The sequence below is a fragment of the Homo sapiens genome, chromosome 8 (genome assembly GCF_000001405.40).
Source record: "Homo sapiens chromosome 8, GRCh38.p14 Primary Assembly".
NCBI lineage: Eukaryota > Metazoa > Chordata > Mammalia > Primates > Hominidae > Homo > Homo sapiens.
The window spans coordinates 26,538,394-26,551,785 of record NC_000008.11 but is presented as its reverse complement, the minus strand read 5'-3'; the positions used below and the strand labels follow the sequence as shown (position 1 = coordinate 26,551,785).

Sequence of the window (13,392 nt, the reverse complement as noted above, 5' to 3'; positions counted from 1 at the left end):
TTTCCAGCTATCTTCCTGTTACTGATTTCTAGTTTAAGTTCATTGTGGTCTGAGAGCTTACTTTGTATGATTTTTATTCTTTTAAATGTGTTAAGGGTGTGTTTTATGGCCTGGAATGGTGAATGTTCCATGTCCCATGTAAGCTTGAGAAGAATGTGAATTCTACTGTTGCTGGGTGATGTATAATATAAATTTCAATTAGATCCATTTAGTTGATGGTGTTAGTTCTGTTATGTCCTTACTGATTTTCTGTCTGCTGGATCTGTCAGTTACTGACAGAGGGGTGTTGAAGTCTATAACTATACTGGCAGATTTGTTTATATCTCCTTGAAATTCTATCAGTTTTTGCCTCATGTATTTTGATGCTCTGTTGTTAGGCACATATACAGTAAAGATTGTTATATCTTCTTGGAGAATTGACTTCTTTATCATTACGTTGTGCCCCTCTTTATCCCTGATAATTTTCCTAGCTCTGAAGTCTACTTTGTCATAAATTAATATACCTATTCTAACTTTCCTTTGATTTCTGTTAGCATGGTGTGATAGTAGATTGGGGCTGTCAACTTGACTGGATTAAAAGATACTCAGATAGCTGGTAAAGGATCAATTATTCTCAGCGCGTCAGTAGGCACTGAGACCATCCCTCTTCTGCTCAAAGGGTTTGGCTTTTGATTAGAATAATTGGGTTGTCCCAGGTATGTCTATGAAGGTGTATCTGGGGGAGATTAGTGTGTGAGTCAGTGGACAAAGTGGGGAAGATCCAGATGTAATGTGAGTGGGCACCATCCAACTGACTGGGGGCCTGGATGGAAGGCAGAGGAAGGGTAAACTCTCTCACTTCCAGAGGCAAGATATCCATTTTCTCCTGCCCTTGGGTGTCAGAACTCTGAGTTCTCCAGCTCTTGCGCTCTGGGACTTACACCAGACCCCCTCTCCCCACCAGCTCTCAGGCCTTTGGTTCAGCCTGAGAGTTATACCATAGGCATCCTTGCATCTGAGGCCTTCAGACTTGCACTGAGCCAGCTACCAGCTTCCCTGGTTCTCCAGCTTGCAGACAGTCTATCATGGGAATTCTCAGCCTTCATAACAGAGTGAGCTAATTCCTCTAATAAGCCACTTGTCATCTATCAGTCTATCTATCTCCCATCAGTCTGCATTTCTGGAGAACCCTGACTAAAAGACATAACATATCTTTCTCCATCCTTTTAATCTATCTGTATTTTTATATTTAGGGTGGGTTTCTTGTACACAGCATATAGTTACATCTATTTTGCTTTAATTCACTCTGACAATCTCTATCTCTAAACTGGTGTATTTACCATTAAGATTTAAGTGATTATTGATAGTTGGATTAATATCTTCTATGCTTGTTACTATTTTATATTTTTGTCCTTGTTCTTCGTTTCTTTCTTGTCTTTCATTCTTTTTCTGCCTTCTGTCATTTTAATTGATTACTTTATGTAACTCCATTTTCTCACCTCTCAAAAAATCAATTATGTCCCTTTTTAGCTTTTTCTGGTCATTGCCCTTGAGTTTGCAGTATACACTTACAACAAGTCCATGTTCAAATTACACTATACCACTTCATCGCAGGTGATGCACATACCTTACAGCAGAGTATTCCCAATGCTCCCATCCCTTGTAATGTTACTTTTCCTTATTTAATTTACCCATAAGCTATAACTACCTAATACATTATTGTTGTTTCTATTGTTATTTTGGACAAACAGGTATCTGTTGGGTCAATTAAGAATCTTAAAAATACTTTATTTACTTTATTTTACCTTGATTTATTTCTCTCTAACACTCTTCCTTTCTTTAAGTAGATCCAACTCTCTTTTTATGTCATTTTCCTTCTCTCTGAAGATTTTTTTTTTAACATTTCTTGCAATGTCACCAGTGACAAATTCTCTCAACATTTATTTGTCTGAGAAAGTCTTTATTTATCATTCAGTTTTAAAGGACAATCTTGCTGGATACAAAATTCTACATTGGTGTTTTTGTTCTTTCAGCACGAAATCTTTCACTTCACTCTCTTCTTGCTTGTATGGGTCTCAAGAGAAATCCGGTATAACACTATCCTTGCTCCTCTATATATAAAGTGCTTTTTACTTCTGACTTCTTTCAAGGTTTTCTTTCTGTCTTTGATTTTCTGCAGCTTGAATGTGATATGCCCAGGGATAGATTTTTGTAGTACTGATCCTGCTTGGTGTTCTCTGAGCTTCCTGTACCTGTGGTATGCTATCATTAATTTTGAGAAATTCGCAGTCATTATGGCTTCCAGTATGTCCCCTGTCCCTTTCTGTCTTTCTGCTCCCTCTGATATCACCTTTATACATATATTAAATCTTTGGTAATTTTCTCGTATTTCTTGGATATTCTGTTCCGTCATTTTCATTGTTTTCTCTCTCTTCATTTCCATTTTGGAAGTTTCTACTGACATTTCTTCAAGCTCGCTGATTCTTTCTTTGGCTGGGTCCTGCCTCTTGATCAATCAAATAAAAGGCATTCTTCATTTCTAGTATAGTGTTTTCTTTATTTCTAGCATATCCTTTTGATTATTATTATTATTATTATTATTATTAACTTAATTTTTTTGAGACAGTCTTCCCTCTGTCACCTGGGCTGGAGTGCAGTGGCATGATCTCAGCTCACTGCAGCCTCCGCCTCCTGGGTTCAAGTGATTCTCTTGCCTCAGCCTCCCGAGTAACTGGGATTACAGGCACCTGCCACCATCCCTAGCTAATTTTTGTATTTTTAGTAGGGACGGGGCTTCCCCATGTTGGTCAGGCTGGTCTCAAACTCCTGATCTCAAATGATCTGCCCGCCTCAGCTTCCCAAAGTGCTGGGATTATAGGCGTGAGCCACTGCGCCCGGCCTATTTTTTATTTGGTTTGGTTTTGTTTTTGAGATGAGGTCTCACTCTGTCACCCAGGCTGGAATGCAGTGGCGCAATCACAGCTCACTGCAGCCTTGACCACCAGGCTCAAGTGATTCTCCTGCCTCAGCCTCCCAAGTAGCTGGGACCACAGGCATGCACTACCATGTCTGGTGACTTTTTTTTTTTAAGAGAGGAGGTCTCACTATAGTGCTTAGGCTGGTCTTGGATTCCTGAGTTCAAACAATGTTCCTGCCTCAGACTCCCAAAGTGCTGGGATTACAGACATAAGCCACCACACATGGCCTGAATATTATTATTATTATTATTACTATTATTATTACTGTTAGGAGTTTAGGAGTGGAGGTTTAATAGGTAAAAAAATAGGAAAACAGCTCTCTGTCTACTGTGAGAGAGGGGACTTCTGAGAGGAAAAGGCCTTGATTATTGTCTTTTAATCCACACAAAGTATAAGTCATTTATTTCTCTTCTAGCCCTGGGCTCAGTATATAGACGGCTTCTCTTCACCCTTTGGGTTAACAATTTTCTCCAGGTTGCTTCTGAAATTATGATAAAGCTCAGCATAGAAAGCCCTCAGTTCAAGCACGGTGTCCCCGATCTCCCCATAGGTGCCTCATCTTGCCTGTGCACCAAGGCCTGGTAATAATCCATTACATGAATTTCCTTGGAGGCCTTGGCCACAGCATCTCCATGTTCTGAGAAGTACTTGGACGTGGTTGTCTGGAACCACTTTGGTCTTGACTGCCTTTATCCTCTCCAGCACCTTCTCCCGGAGTGATATCCCAAAATAATGTCCATCCTCAATCTTGGGGATCAGATGCTGGATCCATGTGATCACCAGAATGCATTTCTCTTTGAGAGTCCAGACTTCTGTCTTATCCAGGGGAACAGGAAAAGGACCTTCTCATGCCAGGGAGACTTCTTTCTCCTCCTGCTTATCTGTTTCCAACTCATCATCCTTGGATAGAGGGTCTGGGATGGGGATTTCAGTGGCACTCAGAGGGAGGTCAGATCAGCCACATTGAAGGACTCCTTTTGCAAGAGCTGATTCAGATATATGACTTTCTGTGGCAAGAATCTGTAGGGGAATTCCTCAGCCTCCTGGAAAAGATTTTGCCTGAAGACCTCCGCCTGCTTGCAGGCCTTCCCGCTCAGATGCACTCCACAAGGCTGGGCCATGCTGCTCCAGGTGCTACATCTCTGGTCTCCTGGCTAGTCCTGATTCTTTATTAAAGTCCCCATCTCTCTGCTTATATTATGCATCTGTTCTTGCATGTTTTTCACTTTTGTCCATTAGAGGCCTTAACACGTTAAATAGTTATTTTAAATTCCTGTCAGCAATCCAAAATCTCTACAATATCTGGGTCTGGTTATGATGCTTGTTCTGTCTCCTCAAATTGTTTTTTGTCTTTCAATTTGCCGTGTAATTTTTTGTTGAAGGGTGGATACAATGTACTGAGTAAAAGGAATCTGCATCTTGCTGCTGCAGTGGGCTTCTGCTCCAGTAAGCAATTTTTTTTTTTTCAATCAGGGTCTCTCTCTGTCAACCAGGCTGGAGTGCAGTGGCACAATCTTGGCTCACTGCAACCTCCACCTCCTGGGTTCAAGCAGTTTTCTTGCCTCAGCCACCCGAGTAGCTGGGATTACAGGTGTGTGCCACCACACCCGGCTAATTTTTGCATTTTTAGTAGAGACAGGATTTCGCCACATTGCCCAGGCTGGCCTCCAACTCCTTGGCTCAAGCAATCCACCCACTTCGACCTCCCAAAGTGCTGGCATTACAGGCATGAGCCACCGCTCCTGGCCTCTAGTAAGCTTTGATTCTGTGTATGGGCTTGTCTCACCAATTGCAGGTGAAGTGTCTTGCCTTGTGACCTCAATCATCTGACTGATAAAGAGTTGTTGATTTTCAGTTTCTGCAGGATTTTTCTTTTCTTTTTTTTTTTTTTTTTTTTTTTTTTTTTTGAGACTGAGTCTCCCTCAGTCGCCCAGGCTGGGAGTGCAGTGGCGCGATCTCGGCTCACTGCAAGCTCCGCCTCTCGGGTTCACGCCATTCGCCTGCCTCAGCCTCCTGAGTAGCTGGGACTACAGGTGCCCGCCACCACGCCCGGCTAATTTTTTTTGAATTTTTAGTAGAGACGAGGTTTCACCGTGTGAGCCAGGATGGTCTCGATTTACTGACCTCGTGATCCACCCGTCTCGGCCTCCCAAAGTGCTGGGATTACAGGCGTGAGCCACCACGCCCGGCCTCTGCAGGATTTTTCTTGTTGTGAGAATAAAAGTCTAGCATCTCAGATAAGAAACTAGAAGCTTTCTCACTGAATCCCAATTATGTAACATTTATGTTACATACAATTATGTGTATATACACACAATAAATATAAAGGTGTCTAATTTATTTTTAAAAGACTCTAGAAAGATATACACCAAAATGCTAATATTTTTGATATTTGTTGAGCAGATGGTGTAATCATCTATGTAGAAGGTCTAAAACAATCAACAAAAAAACTGGAACTGATAAGCAATTGTAGCAAAGTTGCAAGATACAAGGTTAATATACAAAAGTCCATTGCTTTCCTGTATAGCAACAATGAATAAGTGGGATTTATAATTAAAAACACAATACAATTTACATGAGCACCCACGAAATGAAATCTTTAGGTATAAGTCTAACAAACACATCCAAGATCTATGTAAGGAAACCTACAATTTTTTTGATGAACAAAATCAAAGAAGAGCTAAATAAATGAAGAAATATTCCCAAGTTCATGGATTGGAAGACAATATTGTCAAGATGTCAGTTCTTCCCAACTGGATCTATACATTCGACACAATCAAAATCCCAATCAAAATGCCAGCAAATTGTTTGTGGATATCAACAAATGAAATCTAAAGTTTATATGAAAAGCCAAAAGACCCAGAATAGGCAACGTGAAATTGAAGGAGTAGAACAAGTCAGATACTTCCTGACTTCAAGATTTACTATAAAGCTATGGTTGTCAAGACAAACAGATCAAGGGAAGAAAACAGAGAGCCCAGAAAGAAACACACATAAATATAGTCGAATTATCTTTGATAAAGGAGCAGGGAAATTCAATGCTGAGATTATTTTTTTTTTTTGAGATGGAGTCTCACTCTGTTGCTCAGGCTGGAGTGCAGTGGCATAATCTCAGCTCACTGCAACCTCTGCCTCCCGGGTTCAAGTGATTCTCCTGCCTCAGCCTCCCAAGTAGCTGGGATCACAGGTGCATGCCACCATGCCCAGCTAATTTTTTGTATTTTTAGTAGAGATGGGGTTTCACCATGTTGGCCAGGATGATCTTGAACTCCAGACCACGTTAGCCAGGCTAGTTTGGAGGTCCTGACCTCAAGTGATCTGCCCACCTGCTTCCCAAAGTGCCGAGATTACAGGCGTGAGCCACTGCGCCTCGCTAAGACACTTTTTAAATTCCCTTTTGATACCTTCTTTGAGCCAATGGTTGTTCTGGAGTGTGTTTTGTTTCCACATATTTGTGAATTTTCCTGTTTTCTTGCTGTTATAGGTTAGTAGTTACATTTCATTGTGGTTGAAAAAGGTACTTAGAATTATTTTGAACGTCTTAAATTTGTTAAGACTCATTTTGTGGCCTAATATGTGATCTATCCCAGAGAATGTTTTGTGTGTGCCTGAGAAAAATGTGCATACTTCTGCTGTTGGATAAGAAGTTCTGCATATGGTGGTTAGGTCCATCTTTTCCATAGTGTTGTTCAAGTCAGTGTTTCTTTATTGATTTTCTGTCTGGATGTTCTATCACTTATTGTTAAGTGAGGTATCAAAGTCCCCTACTATTAATGTATTGCTGTCAATTCCTGTCCTCAGATCTGTCAATATTTGCTTTATATATTCAGGTGCTCTGATGTTGAGTGTGTATATGATTGTTATATTGTTATATTTTCCTGTAGAACTGACCTTTTTATCACTATAAAATGATCTTCCTTGTGTCTACAGACAGTTTTAGACCTAAAGTCTATTTTGTCTGATATAAGTATAGCCCCCTCTGGTTTCTTTTGGTTACTATTTGCATAAAATATCCTTTTCTATCCCTTTACTGTCAACCTACATGTGTCTTTAATTCTAAAGTGTATCTATTCATTTTGTACACTTTGTATTAAAATTCACAGAAAAGCTGTCTTCTCAAAAGGACTTTTAGAAGTAAAATGATAACATCACGTCCAAGTGACACATGTACTTATATCCATCAGATTGGCGGTGGAGAGGAACTGGAAGAAATGGAGGATTCTAGACCAGAACAATATAGATGATACTTTCAGATATAACCGTTGTTACATGTGTAGCTTATTCAATACTACTGTGTATATAGTAGACGAACTTAAGTCCTTATATGAAACATCTAGTCTGTCCAGGTGTTTAGAAGTGCACAAAGTATATTAAACGTAGTGGTAATAAAGAACACACTTTGTAAATATCCTTTTGTAAAATTCATATGAAATATTGTCTTTTGGAAATTGAATGATCACACCACTTCTCTGAGCAGTACACATTACTATATTCATGCTGGTTCAGGGAGAAAGGAGGAGAAGGAATTCCAAAGGGTTTGATACCAGTGTGTGTATGGTGAGGCACAATTGGCTACTGTCCCTTATGTCCATGCATTGTCTTTTACTTGGCTATGTTTATACCATACATAAAGGACAAGCAAGTCCTGATTTAAAACATCTAGTCCTTCTAGATGTTAAAGAGGTCGCCAGCATATGACAAAAGTAGGGTTAGTAAACTAATACATTGAGTCTGTTTTGTGTTAAAATTCATAGAAAAGACTGTTCTTTTGTTTGTGAAAATCCCTGCTAAGTACTATAGATGCTTATATCTGTCCATTGGGTTGACAGAAGTAGGAAGGAAAAAGGTTCTAGGCTAGAATGTTCCTATTTAAAAGATACTTTCAGGCTGGGTACAGGGCTCATGCCTGTAATCCTAGCACTTTGGAAGGCCAAGGCAGGTGGATCACCTGAGGTCAGGAGTTCAAGACCAGCCCGGCCTGAAAGTATCTTTTAAATAGGAACACCCTGAGCAAACAATGTATGATAAAAAGTAGAGCTAGTGGCCAGGCGCGGTGGCTCACGCCTGTAATCCCAGCACTTTGGGAGGCCGAGGTGGGCAGATCACCTGAAGTCGGTAGTTCGAGACAAGCCTGACCAACATGGTGAAACACTGTCTCTACTAAAAATATAAAATTAGCTGGGCGTGGTGGCACATGCCTGTAATCCCAGCTACTTGGGAGGCTGAAGCAGGAGAATCGCTTGAACCCTGGAGGCAGAGGTTGTAGTGAGCCAAGGTCCTGCCATTGCACTCCAGCCTGGGCAACAAGAGCAAAACTCCATCTCAAAAAAAAAAAAACCAAGGTAGAGCCAGTGAATTAGCCAATTCATAAATATCTTCTTATAATTGATACAAAAAATGAAGCTTGGATACAGAATTGTTAACCTATCCCTGAGCAGTGTATATCAGGACTTGTTAGGTAGGCAGCAGAGGAGCAGAAGGAAGTGTGAAGGGAGAGATGTATGCAGATGTGTTCATATTTACATTTTGACTGTAGCCAACTGACGTATGTGCATCTCTTTGGCTGAACTGCAAGAGTAAATTGAGTAATTCAATGGAAATATACCTCCTTGCTAACATTTGAATGGTATAGATCTGATAATGAATTATCTTAGACACTATACTTGGTGTACTCTGTTGCTTTATGTTTCAGTTTAAATTGAACATTAAGGAAATGCAGTATTTTAATTGGAATTCTGCCAATACCTTTATCTAGAGGAGCGTTGCCATTTTTGTCTTCTATGAAATTTTTGTCCCAAAAGAGGTGGGATTATACTTTTTTCTAACAGATTGAGCTGGTGTCATGTATTTTTAGTTATCAAAATATTCATATCACTTTGGAATTTTAAATTGGTAAATATTCATGATGTGTGAAAAAGCATGATACATACATACTGTATGCTCTCAATCCAATAAAACTGGATGTTGTGTCTAAACACACACAGGACCTAGAAGGACACAGCAAACTGTAAGCTGCTTGTGATTGTGGACAACTTTGTTCTTTGCTTCTTGTGTTTTTCACTTTCCTATAATGCATGTATTAACTTTTTAAAAATAAAAGTTAGGCCAGGTGTGGTAGCTCACTCCTGTAATCCCAACACTTTATGAGGATGAGGCAGAAGGATCACCTGAAGCCAGAGTTTAAAACATACCTGAGAAACAGAGTGAGACCCCATCTCTACAAAAAAATTAAAAATTGTAATAGTTGGGCACAGTGGTACATGCCTGTAGCCCGAACTACTCAGAAGGCAGAGGCAGGAAGACAACTTGAGCCCACGAGGTTGAGGTTCCAGTGACCTATGATCATGCCACTACACTCCAGCCTGGGCAACAGAGCAAGACTGCCACCTCAAAAAAAAAAAATTTTTTTAATATGGGAATTTTTAAAAACCTGGAAACAATAAATAAAGTGTATCTATTATAGACAGCATATGACTTGATCTTGTTTTTTATACATTCAGTCACTCTATACCTTTTGTGGGTTTTTTGTTGTTTTGTTTTTGAAACAAGGTCACTCAGACTGTCACCCAGACTAGAGTTCAGTTGCTAGCTTGGCTCACTGCAGCCTCAACCTCCCAGCCTCAAGCGATTCTCCCACCTCAGCCTTCCTAGTAGCTAGGACTGCAGACATGCACAACCACACCTGGCTAATTTTTAAAATTTTTTTGTAGATATGGGGTTTCCCTATGTTAAAGACATAGTTTGAGCCCAGACTGGTCTCAAACTCCTGGGCTCAAGCAATCTTCCCACCTGGGCCTCCCAGATTGTTGGGATTACAGGCATTAGCCACCACACCCAGCCTCTACACCTTTTGATTGGTGAGATTAATCCATTTACATTTAAGTAATTATTAATGAGGATTTACCATTGCCATTTTGTTAATTATTTTCTATTTGTCTTGCATTGTTTTAACTCTTGTTTTCTCGCTGTCTTTGTTGTTTGATGATTTTTGTAGTAATATGCTTTGATTTTTCATCTCTTGTGTATCTGTTACAGGTTTTTTTCTTTGCTATTAGATAAAGGCTTGTGTAAAATATCTTACAGTTTTTAACCTTCTATTTTAAGTTCAAATGTATAAAAAAACACTACCATTTTACTCCCCCACACAAGCACTTTGTATTCTTGTAGACAAAGAATGCTTCTTTTTATATCATATATCCATTAGCGACATTTTCTCTATTAACTTTTACATTGGGGTTAAAAGTAATTTACATACCATCTTTACAGTGTTACATGAATCTGTCTGCATCTATATATTTACCTTTCCCTGTGTGATTTATGCTTTCATATGCTTATGTGTGTGTGTTGCTGTTTAGGATAATTTTATTTCAATTTGAAGAAGTCTCTGAAGCATTGTTTGTTTCAGATAGAAGAAACAAAAAGACATGACAAGTAAATGATAAGTAAGTTAGGTCTAGTGGTAATGAACTCCTCATTTTTGTTTGTTTGAGAAAAACTATCTCTCCATCAATTTTAAAGGATAATTTTGCCTGGCATAGTACTCCTGATTAAAAGTTGTGTTTTGTTCAATATTTAGAACATATCATCCAACTGTCTCCTAGTCTGCGAAGTTTCTGCCAAGAAATCCACTAATATTCTTACAGAAATTCTCTTAAAAATGACAAATCACTTTTCTCTTGCTGCTTTGAAAATTCTTTATTTGTCCTTAACTTTCGACAACTTGAATAAAATGTGTCTTGGTGTGCAGAAGATTCCCAACATGGTGTTTTGACTTAAGATTTTTTGACTTTATGATGGGTTTATCTGGACTTAACTCCATCACAAATTGAGGAGCATCTGGACTTATGATGGTTCAACTTACAATTTTTTGACTTCCTGATGGCTTTATTGGGTATTAAATATATTTCCTTTTTTTTTTTTTTTTGAGACAGAGTCTCACTCTGTCACCAAAGCTGGAGTGCAATGGCATGATCTCAGCCCACTGCAACCTCTGCCTCCCGGGTTCAAGCAATTCTCCTGCCTCAGCCTCCTGAGTAGCTGGGATTACAGGCATGTGCCACCATGCCTAGGTAATTTTGTATTTTTAGTAGAGAAAGGATTTCACCATGTTAGCCAGGCTGGTCTCGAACTCCCAACTTCAGGTGATCTGCCTGCCTTGGCCTCCCAAAGTGCTAGGATTACAGGTGTGAGCCACCATGCCTGGCCTAAATATATTTTCAACTTACAATATGTTCAACTTACAATGGGTTTATCAGGACATCCATTGTTAAGGAGCACTTGTAGTCTTCCGTGGTTGATCCTATTTGGGGATCTTTGAGATTCAGAAATCTGGATGTCCATTTCCCTCCAACAATCTGTGGAAAGTTTTCAGCCATTATTTATTTAAATGAGCTTTCTACCCCTTTCTCTCTTCTCCTTCTAGAACTCTTATAATATGTGCATTGGTTCACTTAATGGTGTCCTATAAATCCTGTAGTCTTTTTTCACTTTTTTCATTTTTTTATCCTCTGACTAAATAGTATTAAATGGCCTGTCTTCAAGTTTACCGATTTTTTTTTCTTATGCTTGATCAAGTCTACTGTTGAAGCTGTTTACTGAATTTCTCATTTCATTCATTGCACTCTTCAGCCCCAGAATTTCTGAGGTTTTAAGATTATTTTATCTCTTTGTTGAACTTCCCATTATGTTTGTGCATTGTTTTCCTGATTTAATTGGGTTGTCTACTTGTGTTCTCTTGTAGCTCACTAAGCTTCCTTAAAACAATTATTTTGATTTCCCTGTCAGGCAATTTGTAGATTTTCATTGCTTTAGGGTCAGTTATTGAAAAATTATTGTGTCCTTTTGGTGGTTTTATGTTTCCTTGATTTTTTGTTTGTTTGTTTCTTATAGCCATATGTTGGTGTTGGTGTCTATGCACTTGTGGAAACAGTCACTTCTTCCAGACTTAAGACTGGCTTCAGTGGGGAAAGACCTACACCTGCAGGTGGGTGTGAGGGTGTTGGCTGGGTGGAGTGTAGCGATCCTACTCTGGCAGGGCGGGGAAGGTAGCAATAGTTCTGCCTTCAGGAAGGGCATGGTGGTGTAGTTTCCATGGAGCTCTGTCTGCTGAGGTCAGACAAAAATTAGCCGGACGTGGTGGTGCATCCCTGTAGTCCCAGCTACTCGGGAGGCTGAGGCAGGAGAATCACTTGAACCCAGGAGGCAGAGGTTGCAGTGAGCTAAGATCACACCACTGTACTCCAGCCTAGGCAACAGAGTGAGACTCTGTCTATAAATAAATAAATAACACTTTCAAATTAGAGCCTTTATTACATGTGTACCATTTATTCAACGTTACTGTGTATGTAGTGGAAAACTTAGGCACTATTTGAAAAATCTAGTCTTTCTAGATGTTTAAAAGTGCACAACGTATGCTAAAAGTAGAGGGCTACAGTAACACCGTTTAAATATTTTTTTGTTATCTCACAGGAGTGGTTGAATTTGGGAAAGGAATTGTGAAACTGGATGTTTTGATGCTGACTATTCACTGGGTGGTGCTGGGCAGGGGGAGAGGGAACCATGCAGAGAGAAGGGTTCTGTACCCATAAGCTAAATTAGTTCAGATTGTCTAACCAATTGTTTTATATGTGCATTTTAGTTAATATTCCTGTGTATTAAAGGCTAAGCAAGTCCTAATGCCTAAAATATGTTAAAAGTAGAGGTAGCTAAGCAATTTAATGCAGAAACAGAAAACAAAATTCTGTGTGTTCTCACTTATTAGTGGGAGCTAAACATTGAGTACAAGTGGACATAAAGATGGGAACAACAGACACTGGGAACTACTAGAAGGGGGAGGGATGGAGGGGAGCAAGTGCTGAAAAACATTGTTGGATTCTATAGTGGTCCTTAGTGGCCAAGGTTGCAGAGGGCTGTTGATGTGATGAGGGTTGTTGGGGTCCTTGGTGTTAAAGGCTACTGGGGCCCAGTGGTCTTCTTTTATCTCACTGGGGGAATGTCATGCCCAAGAAAATCCCTCTTTGCAACAGGTCTGGCATGTAAATACACTCACTGCAGTGACTGTGCTGGTGTCTGAGGCATGGAACATGCACAGTAGCCACAGAGCTAGGCTCTGGAGCATGCACGTGATTGTGGGAAGGAGGTAGTGGCTTTGGCCCTGAAGGAGGGCAGGACACAGTGGTGGTTCTTACTCCTGTGGAAACATAATAGCAGCTCCTTCCTCAAGGCAGGAACATCTTTGTAGACTCCAGGAAGCTTCATTACACGGGCTCAACATCACTGAAGACCATGGGGAGAAAGCTGTTAGTGTTCCTTGGCAGTGATGAGGACCACTGAGGTCCTCCCGCTCCCTTTTTCCCCCACAGGGAGAGGTCATGCCAAGGGATCGCTCTTGGTACCTACCTATACCAGACTGAGGGAGGGGTAGCATAGGTTAAAA

At 40.1% G+C, this 13,392-nt stretch overlaps 1 protein-coding gene and 1 pseudogene across 1 annotated transcript in view; both read right to left on the bottom strand.

Annotated features, from left to right (window-relative positions):
• DPYSL2 (dihydropyrimidinase like 2) overlaps positions 1-13,392 on the bottom strand; it is a 144,145-nt gene that overhangs the window by 106,390 nt on the left and 24,363 nt on the right. The gene's annotated exons all lie outside the window — the stretch shown is intronic.
• PSME2P5 (proteasome activator subunit 2 pseudogene 5) lies at positions 3,337-4,107 on the bottom strand (annotated as a pseudogene).